Source organism: Homo sapiens, chromosome 15, assembly GCF_000001405.40.
Source record: "Homo sapiens chromosome 15, GRCh38.p14 Primary Assembly".
NCBI lineage: Eukaryota > Metazoa > Chordata > Mammalia > Primates > Hominidae > Homo > Homo sapiens.
The window spans coordinates 72,336,916-72,360,044 of NC_000015.10; the positions used below are offsets into that span (position 1 = coordinate 72,336,916).

Below are 23,129 nucleotides of genomic sequence, written 5' to 3' on the forward strand. Positions count from 1 at the left end.
AAGTGCTGGAAATACAGGTGTGAGTCTGTGACTTCATATGAGGGTAGCTGAAGATACACTGAGTGTGAATGAGATCACTCAAAGTGTATACTGGCTGGATATCAACTCTATTCCATGTTGTACATGTTTTTCTTTTTTTCTTTTTTTGAGACGGAGTCTCACTCTGTCTCCCAAGCCAGAGTGCAGTGGTGCAATCTCGGCTCACTGCAACCTCCGCCTCCCGGGTTCAAGCAATTCTCCTGCCTCAGCCTCCTGAGTAGCTGGGATTACAGGCATGCGCCACCACGCTTGGCTAATTTTTGTATTTTTAGTAGAGAAAGGGTTTCGCCATGTTGGCCAGGTTGGTCTCGAACTCCTGGCCTCAAGTGATCTGCCCGCCTCGGCCTCCCAAAGTGCTGGGATAACAGGCGTGAGCCACTGCGCCCAGCTTATTTTTCTCTTCTTAAAAATTGACTTTTTCATTATTCTTAGGAATTCTTGCACTTACTTTAAAATCAATTTCAAGTTTCCCCCACCCTAAAAAAGATTTGCACTTACTTTAAAATCAGCTTCAAGTTCCAAAATAAAAAGAAATTGAATTTTAATAGGAACCATATTGAACCTGCAGATAAATTTAAAATCCTTATGAATATTGAGTCTTCTCTTTCATGAACATGTTCTGTCTCTACATCTCTATCTCCTGTGTCTCTCCAAAATTTAGTAATTTTCTCCACAAAGTCCTTAGGTCTTTTAATAGATTTATCCCTAGGATCATATAATTATGTACTGTTGATGTTTATCTAGGCTGACATAAGTCAGAATTTTGAATGTGTATGTGAAGATGTATAACATGACACAATGTTTTACCTTTTTTTGCACAATCCAGTTTGAGCTATTTCCTTGTAACTAATATAGGTAGAGTGTCAGAAAATGATTATGGAGTGGTCAAAGGCATCATCTTGAAGAGGAAGACTGGCGTATACTTCTGAGTGAACTGGACAATGGGGCAAAGCAGGAAACACGTAATCTGACTTGCAGTTTAAAAAGATGACTGGAAGAACTGAGGCAGATGCATTCATTAGGATCCTAAACAAAGATGGTGGCAGTGTAGATAGAGAGGAGTACATGAATCTAAGAGTTATTTATACAGAGTAGGGATGTTGTGGTGACAATTATGACAGGAAGGAAGGAGTTAAAGATGATTCCCAGACTTCGGCTCTAATGACCAGCAGAATAGTCATACAGGAGGAATAGAGTGGGGAGCTATGAAAAGATGAATTCTGCCTGGGACATGAGCTTTAAGTACGTAATGGACATTCAGATGATATGAAGATGTTGGCTACCTGAGCTTGGACCCCAGAGGAAATACACATACATATATTATATATATGTTTGTCGGTCAGTCTATCATCTATCTATCTATCTATCTATCTATCTATCTATCTATCTATCTGTCTAATCTATCTGTCTATCTACCTACCTACCTACCTATCTATCTATGGCTGTCCAGGTGTAAGACTGCACACTAAGACTGTCTAAATGAGATCACTAGGAAGAAAGTATAAGAGGAAAGGTAAGGTGCTGTGGCTCATGCTTGTAATCCCAGCACTTTGGGAGGCTGAGGTGTGTGGATCACCTGAGTTCAGGAGCTCAAGACCAGCCTGGCCAACATGGCGAAATCCTGTCTCTACAAAAATGCGAAAAAATTAGCCGAGTGTGGTGGTGCACACCTGTAGTTCCAGCTACCCAGGAGGCTGAGGCAGGAGAATCGCCTGAGACTGGGAGACGGAGGTTGAAGTGAGCTGAGATTGCACCACTGCACTAGGGCCTGGGCAATAGAGCAAGAGAGCGAGACTCTGTCTCAAAGAAGAAAAAAAAAAAGAAGACAAAACCTTGGTTATGGGCTGAGAGTTTACTGAAGGAGTCAGTGATAGACATTGAGAAACTCAGGAAAGAATGGTGTCACAAAAGCCTGCGAAGAAAGAATTTCAAAGAGGGAGGGATCAAAATCTCAAAAATATGCGAAAAGATCAAGTAATTTTTTTCCTTATTATTGAGCAATGTCCCTTGATTTGGCAACATGTAGGTTATTGTTGGCCTTAGTGGAAGCGGCCCTTATGAGGATTACAGCCCAACTGTGGGGTCATGAGGGCTGAATGCAAAGTGGTGAAATAGACAAACTTGCAACTGTTTCAGGCAGCTTGACTAATAAAAGTGGACTGAGAGGTTTTAATTTTATTTGTTTAAACATAGGAGAAGAAATGGATTCGAGCCCAGAAATAGCTGAGTTGCTAGCTTTATCTGTATGTCTGTATTTGGTGTCCGAGAGGAGGAAGATGTCTGACGTGGGGCAGCCCAGGACAGTGGCTGAAGGCAGTAGGGGCTAGAGTTAGGTAGCTGAGTTAGGAGTCATATGCCCTGCAACTCCCCAGTGCTAATCGGGACTCAGCGTAGCTGTGTAACCATATAGATGTCACTTAACCTTCCTATGTTTGTTTCCTTATCTGTCAAATGAGGATAATATTGATAGCACATTGGTTGGGATGAGGATTAAATACATTAACATCCAGTAAAGTGCTTATAATAGTGCCTGACAGGTCGGGCTTGGTGGCTCAGCCTGTAATCCCAGCACTTTGGGAGGCCAAGGTGGGCAGATCACCTGAGGTCAGGAGTTTGAGACCAGCCTGGCCAACATGGTAAAACCCCGTCTCTACTAAAAATACAAAAATTAGCAGGGTGTGGTGGCACATGCCTGTAGTCCCAGCTACTTGGGAGGCTGAGGCAGGAGAATTGCTTGAACTCGGGAGGTGGAGGTTGCAGTGAGCCCAGATTGCACCACTGTATTCCAGCCTGGGTGACAAGAGCAAAACTCCATCTCAAAAAGAAAAGAAAAAAAAAAAAAAAACAACAAAAGTGCCTGACACAGCAAGCACATAAAAATGACGAAGCACTTTTGTTCTCCTAGCTGGATCTCCACATCTATCTTCATTCAGATTTCTGACTCATGTGAGTCTAGATAAACACCAGCAGTTGAGTTCCTATGTTCAAATATCCTCTTTCATAATAGATCATCCAGACACTCAGACACACGCTCTCACTCACACACTCTGCAGCACACCAGCGAGCATGGCACCCCTTCCCATCTGTGTCTGCCTGCCAGCTGCTCTTCCTCCTTTCCCACACACACTCCCTTTTTTGAGTGGCTTCCAAAACATCTCTTTCTAATTTGCTATAAAGAGTGAGCCATAAAGAATTTATTAAGTGATGAAAAAAATCACAGCTAAGTATCAGATTCTCCAGAGGAAATAAGATTAAAAAGAAATTCTGGAAAACAGTTGTTTTTGGAGAAGGGAATAGCATTGGGAAGGGGGATATTAATAATGTTTCATCTTTTTTGTTTAAAAAAAACAAATCTGAAGCAAATATGACTACTGAGATGCAACAAAGCTGGGTGGTTACACTGTTTACTATTTTCTAGACTTTTCTGTTGTTTGAAACATTTGAAATCACTAAAAAATAGGAGTATTTACTGGGATAGTTTAGACTAAACATGGGTGTGGTTAGAGTACAGTAATTACTGTGAAAAAAGCAAGGTTCCTGGACATTTAAATTTTTTTCTTTTTTTTGAAACATGGTCTCACCCTGTTGCTGAGGCTGGAGTTCAGTGGTGTGATCATGACTCATTGCAGCCTCAATCTTCCAGGCTGAAGTGATCCTTCTTTCTCAGCCTCCTGAGTAGCTGGGACTACAACCACACACCACCATTCTTAGCTAATCTTTTTAATTTTTAGTAGAAATCAGGTCTCACCATGTTGCCCAGGGTGGTCTTTAACTCCTGAGCTCAGGCAATCCTCCCACATCGGCCTCCCAAAGTGCTGGAATTAGAGGCATGAGCCACTGCACCTGACCCTGACATTTCGATTTTTAAAAATTTTGTTGAAAAACGTCACACACACACACACACACACACACACACACACCTGCTTCAAAGAGGATTTTTAAAAACAATGGTGGCTCGGCTAGAAAAGATACTAATTTTCAACCTTTATTTCAAAGTTTATTTATAAAGGAAATACAAATTTTGATAAACAAAGCACCCAATTCCTACTTATTTTTTTTCTTCGTGGAAAAAAAAGTATGTGACACATACTTGTCATGCCCTGTATTGATTAAGCTTACAAAAGATATTGACAGAAACTATACAAATCTAGAATTTAGAGTGCTAGGAATGTTGCCATAAGGTATGTGTACCTACATTAATACTAAATAAATTCCACCTACATCCTTTCTTTCACCCTTTCCCAGTATCATTTCAGCTTTCCTCACAGTCTCACTGTCCCAGAAGTCTAGGGGCAATGACTCTCCATCACTAGTGCTGTGGTGGCACCTGTGCTCCCACATCCTGATATCCTACCCCTACGGCAATCCTTTGAGAAGCACCTGAAAACACCAGTGACCTAGCTTTATTAGATTCCTCGAAGGGAAGGTACCTGGCATGCAGCCTCAGCTCCTACCAAGGAGAGGAGAGGTTGAAGACTCTCCCAGTCTCCATTCACTCCTTTGCTTTGATACCCGTTAGGCCTGCTTTGCCTCCTTAATAGACTCCTGGAATGGGAAGGGGTGGGGGTGGGGAGCGACTGGAGAACTCTTTTCCTAGGATGACTGGAGCCAGGAAGTCAGTCTGGAAACTTCCCCACCCCCTGGTGGTGCACAGCACACAAGATGGCCTGTGTTCCGCTCAGGGGTGGGACTTTCAATTTACAGCCTAGGTGAAGGGAGATGAGTTGGGGCAACAGCGATTCTGTTCATTGGAACAGACTGGGTGGTAACTGCAGGCCACTGCAGTTGACCTGTTGGCATTCGAGGTCTGACGACCTTCAGGTAAATGCTCTTATGATCAGTGGACCAAAGGAGCAACGGTGGAGGGTGAGGAACAGCACACTTTACCAATGAAAGTCGTGACCAGGCCACGTTAGTTTAGTGGTAAAAATAATAACATTAAAGAAAATGTTTACAACAGGAATAGAAAATGACAGAACCCTACTGCTTTAACTCAAGTGTATCACGATCTCTGCCTTCATCCACTTGAGACTTAAAACTCAGTGTCTGCTATTTTTACTTAACATTATCCCAAGCAATAGTAACATGAAAGTTATGACCAGGAGGGAAGCAGGGTCGCACCTGTGCAGGGTCCTTGTCTGCGGACCACCCCTCCTACAAGCTTCTGGGTAATAGAGGTAAGGGGGCTCCTGTGGTGGGTGCCAGTGCTGGGACCTTAACTTGTGTATCTGGGCTATAGCCCTGGACTTGGCTAGGCTGGGCTGTGTGAAAATTCCAAGAATTCTGTTGGTAGAAAATGCCCACCCTGTCCTTACAGGAACAGCACAAGGCTAGGCTTGTCTACCTCCCACCAGGACCTCGAAGGAACATGACCCAGGGGCTGAAGGATGGTGTTGAAGGACCGAGTTTTACTCAGATCCTTCTCAGCCCTGCCTTCCTGAAGTTTCTGTATCCACTACACTGGAAGCTTTCTGAAAAAAATGCCTGGAACCTGTCCATTGTTACCCCAGCCCAGGGCCCAGCCAAAGAACTTAACAAATAACCGCCAAGGAAATCCTCACCTAAAATGGCTGCGATGCATTACTGCCCCCGCCTCTGGCTTACAGTATCACTTCTGCATCTGAAACCAGGAGGGGGCAGTCTGGGTCCACGACGAGACATTTCCTTCTAGAGAAAATCACACCTGCAAAGACCCTCTCCAGAGCCACCGCCCACCTCCGCGCAGCCATCCATTCCCTGCGAAGATGCTTTGGGCTGAAAATGGTTGGGAGGAGGGGGATGGAAGTCGCCTACGTTATTTTGGAATTGACCAGGGCCTCTGAGTCCTTCAAATTCAACAATTTACCACAGGCCCGCGTGCGGTGGCTCACGCCTCTAATCCCAGCACTTTGGGAGGCCAAGACAAGTGAACATCTGAGGTCATGAGTTCAAGACCAGCCTGGCCAATATAGTGAAACCCCATCTCTACTAAAAATAGATGAATTCGGCCGGGCGCGGTGGCTCACGCCTGTAATCCCAGCACTTTGGGAGGCCAAGGCGGGCGGATCACGAGGTCAGGAGATCGAGACCATCCTGGCTAACACGGAGAAACCCCATCTCTACTAAAAATACAAAAAATTAGCCGGGCGTGGTGGCGGGCGCCTGTAGTCCCAGCTACTGGGGAGGCTGAGGCAGGAGAATGGCGTGAACCCAGGAGGTGGAGCTTGCAGTGAGTCGAGATCGTGCCACTGCACTCCAGCCTGTGTGACAGTGAGACTCCGTCTCAGAAAAAAAAAATATATATATATGAATTAGATGGACATGGTGGCACGTGCCTATTAATTCCAGTTACTCAGGAGGCTGATGCACGAGAATCGCTTGAACCCAGGAGGCAGAGGCTGCAGTGAGCCAAGATTGTGCCACTGCACTGTCAGCCTGGGCGACAGAGTTTTTGAGACAGTCTCAAAAACAAAAACAACAAAAAAACCCACTACCACAGTGCCTAGAGAACAATATGTGTTTAATAATATTTAAATAATGGTTGTATAAAATTGAAGCAGCAAGAAACCCAAAGGAGAATAGCTCTAGGGGAGGGAGGTGGATGAGTATGCATGGGGGAGAGGCTCTTCTGTGACCAGGTTGGGTCTGGAGCCCTCCCCACTGTCCAGAACACCTCCAAGCCCCTACATCTTTTTCCATATACCAACGCCTTGGAGATATAATGCAGAAGTGAAGTGAGCAGGCTGAGGATTAGGGCAGGTGTCTGGAATATGGTCAGGAGTGGGAGGGGAGTGACATAGCTCACAGGCAAGGCAGAACAGCACAAAGGCTATAGGTTTCATTCCCAGCCCTCAACTTAAAAGACCTCAGGGGCAGACACTGACTCCAGCCTGGCTGTGCCCTTACCCTAACGCCATTCACACTTTTTTTTTTAAACACAGGTAATCCATGTTTATTATAGAAAAATGCCACATTACTCTTTATTGAATGCGAGCGCCAGCACCGGCCCCTTTCTCTCCAAGCACAGGGGCACGCAGGCAAGGGGCACGAAGGCAAGGGGCTCCGTCCCCTGGCCAGGATGCAGTGGAAGCCTGGCTCCACTACCATTCACCTACAGCCAGCACCCTCCTCGGTGCCTGGGGCTCAGGTCTGTTCAAACTCCTGCTCACAGAAGCCTACATTGAGGGGTTGGGCCTGGACACCTCGCCTGCAAGAGGACATGAAGAAATGGCAAGATAAGCCCCTCAGAAGGGGCCCCAGCAACACTTTTCACACCAGTCAACAGTCTCTCCTTCCCCATTTCGGTGACTCTCAAACTGTCACTGTACACCAAATGCACCTGGGAATCTCAATTCCAGAGATTCTCACCTGGGGTGGGGCAAAGTATTGGCAAGAATCTGCAAGCTGAACAGGTGCCTCAGGTGATTCTGATACAGGTCTTGGAGATCCAGAAACGTTGGCGACATCTATTTATATCCTGCCCATCTCTGTACCCTAACCCCAAATAACTCAATCCCTTTAGAATATAGATGGATGTCTGAAAGGCAGCCAATGCTCTTGGTCTACTTAGCCCTCTGTTCCTGACTCTAAAATGCTGTAAATATGGTGGCACTGGGGGACTTAGGTGCTGTCCTGTCCATGAACATGGATGCGAAATCCTGTCCTTGGGTCTCAGTCTATAACCTGACCAATCTCCTTAGGGGACCTCTAGGCATGCTTCCCTTATCATCCAAGTAAGCAACATGCTTAGAGAACCAGCTGGAAGTTACCCAGTGAATGACATAATTGAGGCTTAGACACCATCATGCTTGACTCTCAGCCCAGGACTCTGCTCTGCACTAGGCTATGTCCCCCAAGTACTCAAGACCTAGCCAACGAAGGAATCAGGGAAATGACTATCTTACACAGGCACATCCCTGACAGAGGCAAAGGTGTCATGACATCCTGTAAGTCAGCCTGGTTCAAATCCTGCTTCTTAGTGACTTTGGGCAAGGTCCTGAACTCTGTGCTTCAGTGTCTATCTCTAAAATGCACCTGTCTCATGGGGCTGTGGTGAAGACTAAATGAGACAATATTTGTAACAAACTTAGCACAGTGTTTGCCACAAAATACAGTTGTCCCTCAGTATCCACAGGGGATTTGTTTCAGGACCCCCGTGGATACCAAAATCCAAGGATGCTCAAGTCCCTTATATAAAAATGACATAGTATTTGCATATAACCAATGTACAACTTCCCATATACTTGAAATGATCTTAGATTACTTATACCTAATACAATATAAATGCTATGTAAATAGTTGTTATACAGTATTTTTTATTTGTACCATTTTTTGTTGTATTTTTTTTTTCCTGAATACTTTTTATCGCAGTTGGTTGAATCCGTGGATGAGGGCTGACTATAAGCCTCTGTAAGTGTTAGCTATTGTTAATTATTGTCTTCCTCTCTCTAAGGGGTTCCCCAGCCCTGGATCTGGCCTGCTCCGCCTTGCGAAGGCCCCACAGCTTGCTTACCTCAGCAATTCACAGCGGAAGTGTGACAAACGTTCATAGGCAAATGTCAGGTCAGATGTCAACTTGTTGCTCCACAGCCTTTCGGCAACAGCCCCTGCTCTGGGCCTGGAGGAAAAGGGGCATGTGCCAGATTGGGCCCTGTATTCCCTGCAAAGGTGCTGGACATCCACAGGCTGCTACCTCTTGTCTAGGCACCCTGGACTCACTCAGGCCAAAGGAAGTGATCAATACCTTGTTATGAGCCACAGCCAGGTTGGATGGCTCCCAGAGAGTTCTACGGCTCAGCTCCACCTTCATTAAAATGTGGGTAGCAATCCCACTCTCTTCCTCTCTCAAAGATATGGGAATAAGAATAAACCTTAAAGCCATCATTAACCACAATGACAGTGGCAGCAGCAGAGGTCCTTAAAATGTAAACTTTGCACACCCAACCATACTTGGTAAGGCTGCAGTGAAAACAGCAGAGGGAAGCCTTATTACAGGAATCATGGATGCTTGTGCTGGGTCTTGAGCAACTCACCTATGTTCTCCAGGCCTCATTATCTCTCTGGGAAGTAAGGTTAACAATCCCTATCCCACATACCAAAGGGCAGCTGGAGGGATATAGACGGAAGTCATGTGGAGAGTGAATATTGCACACAAATCTTCAGAAGGCTCGTTGCACGGCCTGCTCTCTCTCAGGCCTGAAAGAAGGGTACTAGTCCAGAGGTGGCTAGATGGGATTGGGTCTCTAAGGGAGAACTCCTGCTCTCAGGCCCAACCCTCCACCTCCCCCCCGAAAACCCTTACCAGAGCCTGGGGACCAGGTTTGTGTTGTCCACATATTCTCCCCACATACAAGCCTCTCCACCAATCACCAGAGCCTTCTGCTCAGGGGTACCTGAGGGAAAACAAGCAACAACAGTCTGGTGATGGTGGGGTAACTCCAGGGTCCCTCTCAACCACCTTCCCAATGTGGCCCTCACCCCAGCTAAGTTGTTTCATTTACTAACTGGAAATGTCTGGCCCAGACCTTCCTGCCTCCCATCCTGTGCCCCAACCCAGCCTCCTTTGGTTAGCAAGGAGAGCTCTCTGCTTTCACCTTCAAATGCCAGGGGTTCCACTATGTAGAAATCCTTCCAGTCAGGGCCATAGGATATACGGTTCAGGTACCAGGGGGCAGAGAGAAGGGCCCGGAAGCCGGCCTTGGTGACCAGTTCCAGCTCCTTCATATAGTTCACTGGAATATCCTCTCGCCACACCTGTATGATTGTGTCTGGCTGAATCTGTTATAAAAGGTCAAATGGCAGTAAGGACACAAAGCTGAGGAGATTCCTGGGCCTTATTCATACACAGGCAACATGGGACAACAGGTATGTGCTCCCTCTGTTCCCCAGCAGCAAAGTATGTCTCTGTGACTCCTGACCATTGAGCTCACACCTCAGGACAGAGGCCAAGGAATCCAGGGCCCTAAGAGGCCTCCCTGCAGCTCTCCTCCCCGTCCCTCTGCAGCCTCCCTGTCCACACAGAGCTAGTAATACCAGCTGTGAGCTGAGGGAGGCAAGCAGTGGGACCCAGGAGCTGCCATGTCCAAAAGTCTCCAGATGTTTCTGGGGACGGGACAAGGTTCCTGAAGAGTCCTTGCATGTGACAGGAGACTGGGATCTTACTGATCAACAATAAAGGAGAAGGTAACCTTGGTCCCACAGACCCAGAAGACCCTCATCTATGATTTAGGAAGAAAAATCCAGCCTATCCAAGTAACCTAACAGCAGAAATAGTTCTTAATTAAGTTTGTAGTGAGGGAAGATAGAAACTCTGACACATAAACCCAGGGCTCATACCACAGCGGCCTTTGGTTTTTTTGAGGCAGGGTCTCACTCTGTTGCCCAGGGTTGAGTGCAGAGGCACATCTTGGCTCACAGCAACCTCTGCCTCCTGGGCTCAAGCAGTACCCCAACCTCAGCCTCCTGATTTTTGTATTTTTTGTAGAGATGAGGGTTTTGCTATGTTGGCCAGGCTGGTCTTGAACTCCTAGGCTCAAGCAATCCCCCTGCCTTGGCCTACCAAAGTGCTTGGATTACAGGCGTGAGCCACTGCACCCAGCACTCTGTGGCCTTTCTAGAGAGAAAAGGAGAGTGCTCCGACCATTAAAGCCCAATCCAAACCAGGAGGATCAGTCTCTGTAGAGGCAGGGAGGAGCTGGGGAGACCAGAGGGAGGCACTGCTGGTGGCTTCTTCTCTTCTCTGCCCCGGCTCACCTTTACTTTATTATCAAACACCTCCTGCCACACCACATAGCCCTTGCCATAAGAAGAGACGATGTCCAGCAGCCTGGAGAGGAGAGGAGTGTCTAGTAAGTGTCTGCTTAGCTCAGATGGGTTCTAGACTGTTTGTGCCAGTGCTCTAGGGGTTGAGCCTGGCCAGGGGCCTATTCCTCATTAAGCAGTGTCTTTCCCCTGGGCTGAAAACCAACCACTCCAAATCTGAAAGGATGGGACAAAGGACAAGGGAACCCTGCAGGGACCAGACAGTGGCCAAGCAGGGCCTGACTCGGTATGGAAAGGGAGGACCCCACAGGAGGACCCCCAAGGGACCCCACCCACCCTCCTTCCTTCCTCACGTCTGGATGTAGAAGGACTCCAGCTGCTTGAAGTCCTCACCGAAGCCTTTCTTCCTCATAAAGTCCTGGATCTCTGGGTTGGACTTCCTGAATCCCAAGAGAAAATGAAGATTAATCTTTCAACATCCTGAAAGCCTAATGCCTGGGGATTAGTCACCTGGCCCCCTATAACTTCCTCTTTTCACCTGAAAAATCAAATAAGCAAGGATCTCAGAAGCCCTACATGTGGAAAGTGTGGCCAAGCAAAGTTATGTGAAGCAGGTGGGCTGTTGACACAGGCTGAGAAAGGCTGAGTCTGGACCTGAAGAGTTTTAAGTTCAAACTCCCAAAGAGAAAACATATTAATCCTCTCTGGACTGCAACATGAGAATCCAAGGTCTTAACTTGAAGCTCCAGCACACTGGATTTCGGCTTTCCTATCTGCTCTTCCAGTTGGATGACAAGCCTTGCTGTCTAACACCTGCTGCAGATCCCTTGCGTTATGACGTCCACATTTTGCTCACATTGTTCTCCTTCTGGAATATTTTCCCCTGCTCACATCTCCAAAAAGCCAAATTGATTTCCCCAGATTCAGCTCTAGCGCCCTCTTCTCAAAGAAGCCCCTCAGCCTCTTTTGAGCTTACTAGAACCAAGGGTTTGGACTTTACAACTGAATACTAATTAGACATTGTCACCTATTAGTCTTGAATTCTGTGTCTTGACTCTTCAACTAGACAATTTTAAGCCTTCATAAACAGGGATTATTTTTCTCTATCCCGAACTTTTCCAAGACAATTCTGTGCCCAGGGCTGTTTTTTCTATCAATACCTCAAGGATATGAGAGTAGGAAGGAAGAGGTTCACAGTGAAAGCCTTGCCAAAATCAGGTAGGATCTCTACGTAGATGGGCAGAGGAAGGCCTAAGACCTGAGCAATGTGAGCCCATACAGACCCCTGAGAGCAGCAGCTGAGCTAAGCAGCCCCTCGGGTGCTAACTTCTATTCTGAGTAAGCAACTGATCAGGCCACAGTGGGAAGATCAAAGGGCTCATACCAGCAGGTGAAATCAACCTCATCTCCTCCAAGATGAAGATAAAAATCTGGGAAGACAGAGCTGACTTCTAAGAAGAATGTGCTCATGAACTCATAGGTATTATTGAGACTGGGATTCACTGGTCCAAAGGTGCCAGAGGGCTCAGACCCAGAGTAGCAAGGAGTCAGTAATCCAGGGATACCTAAGCCAAGAGAAAACCCCATATGAGTGTCACAAATACATAAACCCCCACGCACAGTCCTACACGTAAGGACACGAGTCACACAAAGCAAGACAAGTGTATTCATAAACATCACACACATTTAGGTAGGCACACTTAGGCACTCACAGACACTGGTAGTCACCACCATTTAGTCACAGTAAAAAGATACAAATATATCCACAATCATAGGCAGAGGCTAAGTTCCAGCCAGACAACTGTCAGTGCGCACACTCTTGCCTGGACACACTGCTTCTAGCAGGTGCTACCCTTGCTCCCAAGGCTGCTCTCCTCACAGGCCTTGAGGCAGAGAGAGAGCCTAATCCAGCCAAACTGGCAAAATCTTTCTTCTCTATCTCCTCCTGTAGGTGGGGTCAACCATCACCCAGAATCTTTTTACATTTGCTAAGGGATATCTCCCTTGGCCCAGAGACTACTTCCTGACGCTGAGGTCACAAGATATCTTCAGGGTTTTTTTTTGGTTGTTGTTGTTTGTTTGTTTTTGAGACAGAGTCTTGCTCTGTCGCCCAGGCTGGAGTACAGTGGCATGATCTTGGCTCACTGCAACCTCTGCCTCCTGGGTTCAAGCGATTCTCCTGCCTCAGCCTCCCGAGTAGCTGGGATTACAGGCGCCTGCCACCACGCCTGGCTAATTTTTGTATTTTTAGTAGAGATGGAGTTTCACCATGTTGGCCAGGCTGGTCTTGAACTCCTGACCTCAGGTGATCCACCCGCCTTGGCCTCCAAAAGTGGTGGGATTACAGACATGAGCCACCACGCCCGGCCAATATCTTCAGTTTTCTATCAGGCCAGTAGCCCTTTTCAACTGTCATTTAACCTGTGTTGGGGGCTCACACTGGAGGGCTGAGGGTATACAGAAGAAAGGGAGCAGGGGTACTGACTGACTCTGACCTCTGCAGGCTGCCCTTGGGCTTCTTTCTTTCAGATTCTACCCTGGTGGTCAGATTCCTCAGCATCCACTCTAGGCACAACTACCTGCAACGGCATCTGAGAAAAATGTGCCCTTACATAGTCTAACAGTACATATTTTAATAGTAAGAAGCAGCCTCCATTGTCCAAAGTGAGTTCTTCCTATCTAAATTCCCAGGTGGAAGAAGTCGATGGAAAACATTCTTCTAAGGACCAAGGCTGGGATATGCCACTTCCATGAGCCAGTGCCCTGAAGCTTCACTCTGAGCATAACAAGCAGAGTCCCTCTGGTCCCAGACATCATTCTTACCTGGTCCCCAGGACAAAGTGTGGCCAGGAGTGTCAAACTCTGCAAGCACACGGATACCCCGGAGCCGTGCGTATTCAATGACCTCCTTCACATCCTGTGCTGTGTAGATGTGGGTGACAGGGTTGTAGGACCCCTGAAAGGCACAAGACACCCTTCAGGTTCACACTTCCTGAAAGCTAGCAGAGTAGAAGATACTCAAAATGCCCACAAGACTCCCCAGATATCAGAAAACCTGCCCATAGCCCTTTGGTGTCAGGGACTATCTTCAAAAAACTTGATCATAATTTCCCAGAAGTTATCACATCTGTTTTATCTGAGTATCATAATGCCAGTGAGATAATCATGGTAGGTATTAATACTATGTCCATTTAACAGAATATAAATACATAAAAAGGGAATAAGGCCAGAAGAGATTCTCTCCTGAAGGTCACAAGGCAAATTATCGGCAAAGTTTTGGACTTGAACTCAAGTCTCCTGACTCCAAATCCAGTGTCCTTCCCCTATATTGGTCTAAAACTGGCTGGTTAGGATGAGAGACCCTGTTCTTGCCAGCAGGGCCACAGCCAGATTCAGACATTGACCCATAAACTTGGTCTGAGTGAAACGGGAACATACCTTTCTCATGAGCTCTGGAAAAGTGAAGCTCTCATATGGGAAGGAAGGATCATCTACCAGATGCCAGTGGAACACGTTCAATTTATTGTACGCCATGACATCCTGTAGGTTAAAGTGCACACTGTGAACCCATCACAGTCTCTCCGGTTTCAGCCTCAAACTTGCGATGTTGGGCGAGCTCTCAGGCCGCTCCACACACCCCTACAGGCTTGACCTGCCTCAGCTCTCAATTAAGTATTTATGGGGTCTATCAAACCTTCCCATCAGGGAGGGATGGCATGGAGGGAAGGCCCAGCACACTTCTACTTTTCCCAGAACACATCCAAAGATGGATGATAGAAGTGGTCTTTCCTCTTCTTGAAATAAATTCTGGCCACATTAAGAGGAGGGCTGCAGCTACTGTGGTAGCCTGGAATCTTCCAAAAGCCTGAAGATCAATACTTCCTCTTGCCATTTGTGTTCGGTTGTCTGACTGATGTTAAGCCCAACTGTGAGACCTCCTGGGAACTTAGTAGCCTCTTAACTCATAATCTCAGAAGCAAAGGCTGGCAGATGTGTGGCCTCCTTTGGTTCCGTCACAGGAGCAAAGGAAAAGGCAGACACAGGAACTGGATTGGGAACTGTCAGATAAGACTGCACATTAAACTCAAGAGAGTTAGGAACTTCCCCAGGAAAGGCTTTTTTTTTTTTTTTTTTTTTTTTTGAGACAGAGTCTTGCTGTGTCACCCAGGCTGGAGTGCAGTGGCACAATCTCAGCTCACTGCAACCTCCACCTCCCAGGTTCAAGTGCTTCTCATGCCTCAGCCTCCTTCCTTCCTTCACTTATTTATTTATTTATTTATTTTTGAGACAGGGTCTCTGTTGTCCAGGCTGGAGTGCAGTGGTGCAATCACAGTTCATGCATCCTTGATCTCCCCAGGCTCAGGTGATTCTCCCATCACAGACTCCTGAGTAGCTGGGACTACAGGTTTGCGCCATCGCGCCTGGCTAATTTTTTGTATTTTCAGTAGAGATGGGGTTTCACCGTCTTGGCCAGGTTAGTCTCAAACTCCTGAGCTCGGGCAATCCACCCGCCTTGGCCTCCCAGAGTGCTAGGATTACAGGTGTGAGCCACTGCACCTGGCCCCAAGTTAAGGCTTTGAACGTCTCTCTCCTATGACCTTGTTCTAACTAAAGTTAGCTCTGCCGGCCAGGTGTAGTGACTCATGCCTGTAATTCTACCACTCTGGCAGGCCAAGGTGGGCAGATTGCTTGAGCCCAGGAGTTCAAGACCAGCCTGGGTAACATGACGAAACCCCAGCTCTACAAAAAATACAAAAAAAAAAAAAAAAAATTGAGACGCTGTCTCAAAAACAAATATAGTTAGCTCTGCCAATGAAGCCAATTCCCCTAAACATTTGTATCCCTGGAAACAGCCTGAACATTGATCTACAGTAGCCTGTAAGGTAGATTTAAGTCACTCTGTTATTTTTTGAGTCTTGGAGCAGCTCATCTTCTACATTTTTCCCAGGAGCTCATAGAATTACATACAATTTTTTTTTTTTTTTTTGAGACAGCGTCTCACTCTTTCACCCAGGCTGGAGTGCAGTGGCGTGATCTCCACCCACTGCAACCTCTGCCTCCTGGGTTCATGCGATTCTCCTGCCTCAGCCTCCCAGGTAGCTGGGATTACAAGCATGCACCACCATGCCCAGCTAATTTTTGTATTTTTAGTAGAGACAGAGTTTCACCATGTTGGCCAGGCTGGCCTTGAACTTCTGACTTCAGGTGATCCGCCCACCTCGGCCTCCCAAAGTGTTGGGATTACAGGCATGAGCCACCACACCCAGTCCATACATTCCCTCTCTAACTCTTTAAGAATTTGGAACTTGGTCTGTCCGTTGCTCCATCACCCTAGAACTCTTAAGTGTGAAGAAGGCCTTAAGGCCTGGTTACCAGAGTGTCCAGGATGCTAGAGAGTGGCAGGTAATGGCGAGATGTATCCAACAGCAAGCCCCGGTGAGGAAAGCGGGGAAAGTCCTCAATCTCAGTCTTGTTGATAAAGAACTGTGCAGAACAAACATTGAACATGTCAGTTTCAAAGGAAGCTTACTATGGGGGCACAGGGAGATGAAGACAACTCTCCCAGGATTCTTAAAAAGCCAATCTGTGACTGTTCTCAGGGTCGCTCTCTCCCTAAATGCTCCCCACCTCTATAAATGACCATAAGCAGCCACCTTCCCAGAGAGCAATTGTCCAACGCCAGCCTAATACAACTGTCCCAAACACCACTCAGCCTACAAATTCTGGATTTTCCTGTTAACATAGTTTATTTTCTTCAAAGCAGTGTGGCCTCAAGGTCATTACTAAATGATGACTCAGGGGGACCAAATTACAGTGATTCCAAACAGACCAAATCTACCAAACCAGTTTTCCACTCACATCTCCTCTTCCATTTCTACTGGGGCTATCTCAAGCCACCAGGATCCTAAGGCAAAACAAGATTTTTCTAGGATTCTCAATATTGGGATCCAACCCCAGAGATGAAAAAGGAGCCCTTTTTGAGGGTCCACACTTACTGTGCCCTCAGCAGATTTCCAAACAAGCTGGCTAAAAGTCTCCAGACCTAGGAAGATGTAGAGAGGCAGAGTAAAGACTCAGGGAGTGGAAAAAGAGATGTCTCTATTTGGAAGGTTCTCAATGTAGCAGAGCATAACATTTGGGTACACAGGGAAAATGGATGTAGTGTAGGCTTGACGATTTTTAACACTGATGAAAAGGGGATATTAGGAAGCCACTATCCATCTTTACTTCTGTATTTCATTTTGGGAGATGTCAGAGTAAGGGTTTTAGTGCCCTTCCTTACAACATACTAACCTTCAAAACCCACATACCTCTTATCTATATTTCCTGTGCCTTCACAAGAATATTGAGAAGAGAGGCCAAGACATATACTCATGAGGACAGACACAGAGACAACTCAGCCTGCAAGAGTTGGACTTTTCATGGATAACCCCTATCAGGAGCTAAGAGAGCTGAGAAAAGGGGTCCCAGAATAAATTGTGAGAAAGTGATCATAAGCTTGGGTTTCCAAGGAGCCTGGGTTCATGGCTGGACCTAGAAGATAAAAAAAATCATCCACTCTTCCTCTTCAGAGTCTAAGAAGAGACCCAGCTATAGGGAGCTGAGGTGTGGTGGACAGCAACTGCCCCAGAAGGACTCCCCTAGTCCACTGACACTGTCTCCTAGAGTCTAGCAAGGCCCACACACAGGTATGTTGAACCCAGAGTATTGTATGTTCTCAACAGCTGGGGCCCCTCTTCTGGAAACCCTGCAGAAGCCCCATGAAAATTATCAGAGTCCCCAGTTTCAAAGTGAAAGAATCCATGAGACCTCAGCAGTCACTCAGCACCTGATTTGAGCAGACTGCTAGTGTACTGTTTTGGCTTCTCCCCACTCTGACTCTGACACCCAGCATTCTGGAGTTCCAGGTCCTCCCTTACCTCTAGCCTGACTCACCATCAGCACCTGCATGAAAGGTACAAGAGGGCAGGAAGGGGAGGCAGCATGCTGTTGCTCCAAGCATAGAAGTGGAGCAAGGGAATGAAGACAAACTAAAGCAAGGTGTGGAATTCCGAGAGAGTTTCCCACATCATTCACCAGCAGAGGGTTTACCAAAAGTGGGAGAGATATTTGGCTAAGTCTGTATCTAGGCACCAAATGCCTTCTCAGTAAACCCAGAAGAAGGGCAAGGGCCAATAGTTTAGCCAGTAAACTCATTTTCTCCAGAAATAATGTAGTTCTAAATATTTCACTACTATTTATCTTTTTTTTTGCATGTATCTATTTCTTTTGTTATAGTTTTCCTTTTAAAAAAACCTTTCCAATTACATGTCTTTAGCAAGAGCTGGACAGACAGTGTCTGTGGTAGCATCATTCCCCCTGCCCCCAGCTACCTGTCCCCTGCTGGCACCTAGAACATCAGCCCACAGACTCTCCTACTGCTTCCCAGAGCCCCTGACTAGGGCAGCAGCAGTTGCTGATGCTGCACAGGGTAAAACCTGTCAACTTCCAGGGACAATTCCACAGAGACGGGAAAACACGCCAATTGTTCCCATAAAAAAAGCTTCCTGGCTGGGCGCGGTGGCACACACCTGTAATCCCAGAACTTTGGGAGGCCGAGATGGGTGGATCACTTGAACTCAGGAGTTCAAGACTGGCCTGGGCAATATGGTGAAATCCCATCTCTACTAAAAATACAAGAATTAGCTGGGCATGGTGGCAGGCACCTGTAATCCCAGCTACTTGGGAGGCTAAAGAGGGAAGATTGCTTGAGCCTAGGAGGCAGAGGTTGCAGTGAGCAGGGACTGGGCCACTGCACTCCACCAACACCAACCTTCCCACATCATCCTTTCTCTCTCTCTTTTAATCAGCCCCAATTTGTTACCTCGGAGAGCTCCCCAGACAGTCTCAGAGAGGAGTAAACACTGGTCATCATTTATGGTCAGGGTATCTGAAATGACAGAAATGAACTCATTTAGTTGGTTAAGGTTTTCTATTCTCAGATTATAGACCAGATATTCTATATAAATCACTGGACTAAAAAAAAAAAACAGTAAGACCATATATTTTAAAAAATCTTTCAATGAGGAGATGTCCCCAGAGCAAGACAGCTGTAGGATGGCCTGGTCTGGGGCCAGAGTGGGAGGGTGGTCACCACAGTGACTCTGTAGACCCTGGATGATGATGTACAGCAAGAGTCAGGCTGGAGTGGAGGTCTGTACAAAGCACCACCTACCTCATGGGTCAGTTTCCACAGCAGAAAGATGAAAGAAGTCTTCTCCTGGCAAAGGGAACAGGGATGCCTGCAGGGGTGAGTGCAGCACGCGATGCTCCCAATGCCTTTGTAATCACCCTCCTTTCCCCTTCCTCTATGCTTCAGCTACTTCCTCCAAGAATGTGAGGAAGGAGCCAAACTCAACTGTTCACTTTGGAGACTGAGAAGTCCCCAAATGCTGCTCAGGGAAGACAGGAGGCAGTCACTGGACTAATGACTTAACTTCATCTCAGTATAAGTGACCAGAACCCCTGCTTTCCCCAGTGTAGGGTCTATTAGAGAAAAGTAGCAAAGTATACACTTTCCTAAAATAGAAATGTATTCAGTACACCAGGTAGAAGTCCTGTGGGACTCAGTGAAGAGCCAGTGTGATGTTCCACAGCCAACCTTTAGCACTGGTTAAGTTTCTGCATAGGAAAAACTCATCTTCCATGGCTCTCAGCACTTGGTGACCCTCGGTCCCCAGGGTCAAGGGGGACTCCAGGCCGAGCATCAGCAGTTTAGGCCAGGCCATCCAGAGTTACAGCTTCAGACAAGTGTTTGCTCTTCTAAGACAGGGAACAGGATGGTACTTACAATTCTCCACTGACTCCAAAGTAGGAAGCTGGTTACATCCAGGTGTGACTACAGAGACAACCAACACATTCTTCTCCAGTGTATGCCGTTTCCCTAGGAAGACAGGGTAAGCTTGGTGCGGCCAACCTGCCATTAGAAGCAACAGGCAAAACCAAGACCCTAGCTCTAGTCCCTCAGCTCACACGCCTGTGGTAAAGGAAAGGGAGGACATGGCATTTACCCTTGGCATAGGCAGTGCCTGATCATCTGTTCAGCTGTCTCACTCTCGTTGTGCCCCTCTTCTCCTCAGTAGCTGCCCTGACCCATGTCTGAATGCTCTGGGTGACAGCTCTTCTTAACCAGGGCTCTATATTTCTGACTGCCCTTGGCCTGTACCAAACAAACAACTCCATGACCTCAACAACTGCTTCTGAATGAAAGGCAGCTCTAGAGCACTGCTACTCCAAGTATGGTCTGCAGATTAGCTGCCAATTTGCAAACTGTGTTACTGGCTGGTCACTATATAGAAAACTTATATGAAGCCTGAATGTAAATCAATTATGTCAGAGTAAACACACTGTCTAGTTCTAACATTTTTTCATACAAGATTTTCTTGATGAAGAGATCAGTCTTACATTCTGGTACATATGCTTCTTATCTCATTGAAGATTGGCATATTAAGTAGTACTGCTCTTGAGGGCTCCAGATGAAGGGTTTCCAGTTTTGCAAAAGCCTAGGAGCTAATGGAGCAGATGACAGAAGGATCAGGCAGAGGAGGCCTGAGATGATGCAACTGATACCTCAGAGAAGATCAGGGTCACCCACCCATCTTGCTTCCTTCCTTCCTCTTCCCAAACAGGTTCTCTATCCAAGGTAGATTTTACCCTAATAGTGGAGGGTTGAACCAACATAGTATCTAATATAGCTTTACAGACCCTTGTCTATGCAGAAAAAATGCCAAAGCCAAAATATGAATACACTGTCTCTTCTCACCCTCCTGCTGGTTCTTCCCTGTGATTTTCAGGGTGGCTCTGGTGTTATAGCCCCAAGCCTTAACTTAATGAACCCCTCTCTATTCTATTCTTTCCTGGAGCCATATTCATCCCACTGGCATCACAACATCCATGACTTCTTATGGCACTACAATGTCAGGGATAGGATGGCCTGGCAGAAGGCAATGAGAGAATTCAGAACCAAACTGGAATCTCAAATGTTACCCATCTCCAGGCAGAAGGAATCCAAGCGCTCAGATCATCTCACGGAAGCCTGCTCAGACCTCTTGAGCACTACCACATGGCTGTATCTCAGCTCTTTGGTCTGCCAAGAAGCAAGCCAATAAGGGGGCCTTTCCTACCATCATGAACAACACATTCTTTCCCTTACCAGTAAATACCCTGGATCCCCACACCAATACCTGCCTACATTCTGCAAAGAGGAGGGAATCTGAGGCAACTCTGGGCCAGGTCAATTCACAGCTCCATACTTGAACCCTAAAACTACATTGTTACAACACAAAAGGACAAGCAGACCTTCAAGGCAAAGACCACACTCAAGGCAGAATCTGCAGGGCCATCCAAGCAGACAGGCTACAAACCCATCTCCACAGGAGACTCTACAGGGAGACCAATGAGGACTTAACCTAGGAGCAAGGGTGAGGAAAAACTATACCCCATCCTCTGACTTCTTGCCCCCACTCCCAACCCCACACATCATGGAGCCCCAATATCATTGTGTGGAGAATTCATCTGCATATCTACCCAGGCAGCCATCCAAAAGACAGCCGAAGTCCTGAGCTTTAGTTCTAATCCTCTGGGGCTCAGCCTGCCACATAAGGAGAAATCACAACTAATCCATATGCAACTACCATGGCTCGCTGCCCTCATGACAAAATAAGAGAGGCCACACAAACACCAGGTTTATCTGAACTATTACTTGGAAGACAGAAAAATACCTAATCTTTCGATTTTTAAAAAATTTATTTTTCTAAAAGACACCTGCACTGTACTCCCTAAATCTGTAGTCTTTTGGAGAGTCACAGACTCCTTTGCAGATCTGCTGAATAGGAAAACACTTTTTTTCCCAGAACAATGCCCCTAATTTAAGGGCTGTTTCTCCAGAATTACAATTCTTCCACTCCCTGCCATCAATCTCATGGTGAAGAATCCCTGTCCGAAGTTCTCTCAGTGACTCATCTGGGTTTGGGCTGAAAGAAGTAGATACGGGGGCATGGCTGCTGTTTAAACAAATTATGAGAGGGATGTTTGGGGGAGGCAGCAACATGAGAGCTGGCAAAACAGGAGGGACACTAGGTCATTGTAAAGGATGTAAATAGGGTATCACCACTGTGGTTTTCCGCCTCCAAGTTGCTACTTTGCCTGGCTATGAAGAGGGCAGGAAATAGGCAGGGGACAGTAGTACAGCCGCCTCTACACACACCCGCCCACACCCTGAACACTGAGAAGCACCAACGTGTGGGAAGCACAGTATGGCAAACAGCCCGGTCAGCCAGCAATGTCATGAGCACATGTGCCATGAGTCTGGCTGGAACAGCAGGAAATTGAGAAGCCTCCAGGGCTTAGGAGGTAGCATGAAAAACAGACCAGAGGGCTGGGAAATCAGGACAGGTTGCTTCTGGTTCTGGTTTTGCTGCTGCCAAGCTGAGCAAGTCTCAGGGCTCCCATTTCCTTCCCTGTAAACAATGGCAGGGTGGGACCAGATTCCAGCTACTCCTCTTCAGATCTAAGACCTTGTGATTCCATAGACAGATAATACACTCCAGGGTCCCATTCCAGGACCACAGCCTGCTACCTCTGCAGCTCACTCATCTCCCTGCTTTCATGTAAACCTACTCTTCTCTTTGGGTTCACTGAAAACTTTGTATCTTTTTTTAAAATCAAAACAGTTGTATAGGCCTGGTGCGGTGGCTCAGGTCCATGATCTCAGCACTTTGGGAGGCTGAGGCAGGCGGATCACTTAAGGTCGGGAGTTAGTGACCAGCCTGGCCAACACGGTGAGACCCTGTCTCTACTAAAAATACAAACAAATTAGCTGGTCATGGTGGTGGGCCCTGTAATCCCAGCTACTCAGGAGGCTGAGGCAGGAGAATCACTTGAACCCAAGAGACGGAGGCTACAGTGAGCAGAGACTGCACCACTGCACCCCAGCCTGGGCAATAGAGTGAAACTGTCTCAAAAAAAAAAAAAAAAAAAAAAAAAAGAGTAGTACATACTGGTTAAAAAAAAAATCAAACAGTACTACCAAACAGTAGAAAATATTTACGATTAAAAAAAAAAAGTATCTTTGGTACCCTTCCTTAGTCCCCTCAGTAAAGAGACAAACATCACTGGTAGTTTTCTACCCCTGTAGTACCTTATAGAGTAATTTTGCCTTATTCATCACAGACAGGTCACCTCTGGACATGGAATTCTAATAACAAGGACGCTCTATCACCAAAGTCCTACTGTTGAACCTTCTCCAGACTCCAGTACTATGACCCCTCCATTTCCCTTCTGTTCTCAGTCTTCTCTCATTCTTGCTTCCT

The 23,129-nt window shown here is 46.7% G+C and overlaps 1 protein-coding gene across 3 annotated transcripts in view, besides 1 other annotated feature; it reads right to left on the reverse strand.

The window, feature by feature from the left end:
• The window catches only part of HEXA (hexosaminidase subunit alpha), a 35,091-nt gene continuing 15,970 nt past the window's right edge, over positions 4,009–23,129 (reverse strand). The window contains exons 2-14 of one of the 3 annotated variants that reach the window (NM_000520.6): positions 19,610–19,702; positions 18,644–18,709; positions 16,776–16,822; positions 16,153–16,263; positions 14,218–14,319; positions 13,603–13,735; positions 12,164–12,344; positions 11,133–11,219; positions 10,771–10,843; positions 9,612–9,795; positions 9,320–9,410; positions 8,531–8,635; positions 4,009–7,225 (exon numbers count right to left, since the gene is read on the reverse strand). In NM_000520.6, the coding sequence (NP_000511.2) occupies positions 7,162–7,225; positions 8,531–8,635; positions 9,320–9,410; positions 9,612–9,795; positions 10,771–10,843; positions 11,133–11,219; positions 12,164–12,344; positions 13,603–13,735; positions 14,218–14,319; positions 16,153–16,263; positions 16,776–16,822; positions 18,644–18,709; positions 19,610–19,702 (1,337 nt within the window). In that variant the 3' untranslated portion in view covers positions 4,009–7,161. Of the gene's footprint in view, positions 7,226–8,313; positions 8,636–9,319; positions 9,411–9,611; positions 9,796–10,770; positions 10,844–11,132; positions 11,220–12,163; positions 12,345–13,602; positions 13,736–14,217; positions 14,320–16,152; positions 16,264–16,775; positions 16,823–18,643; positions 18,710–19,609; positions 19,736–23,129 lie in introns of those variants that run through there. The other 2 variants (NM_001318825.2, NR_134869.3) reach the window with 2 other exon arrangements.
• Positions 5,443–5,942: an enhancer, noted in NCBI's record as "H3K27ac hESC enhancer chr15:72634699-72635198 (GRCh37/hg19 assembly coordinates)". NCBI's record gives its function as "activates a minimal SCP1, AML or CMV promoter by ChIP-STARR-seq in naive H9 embryonic stem cells {active_cell/tissue: H9 hESC(naive)}" and the evidence as "EXISTENCE:reporter gene assay evidence [ECO:0000049][PMID:30033119]".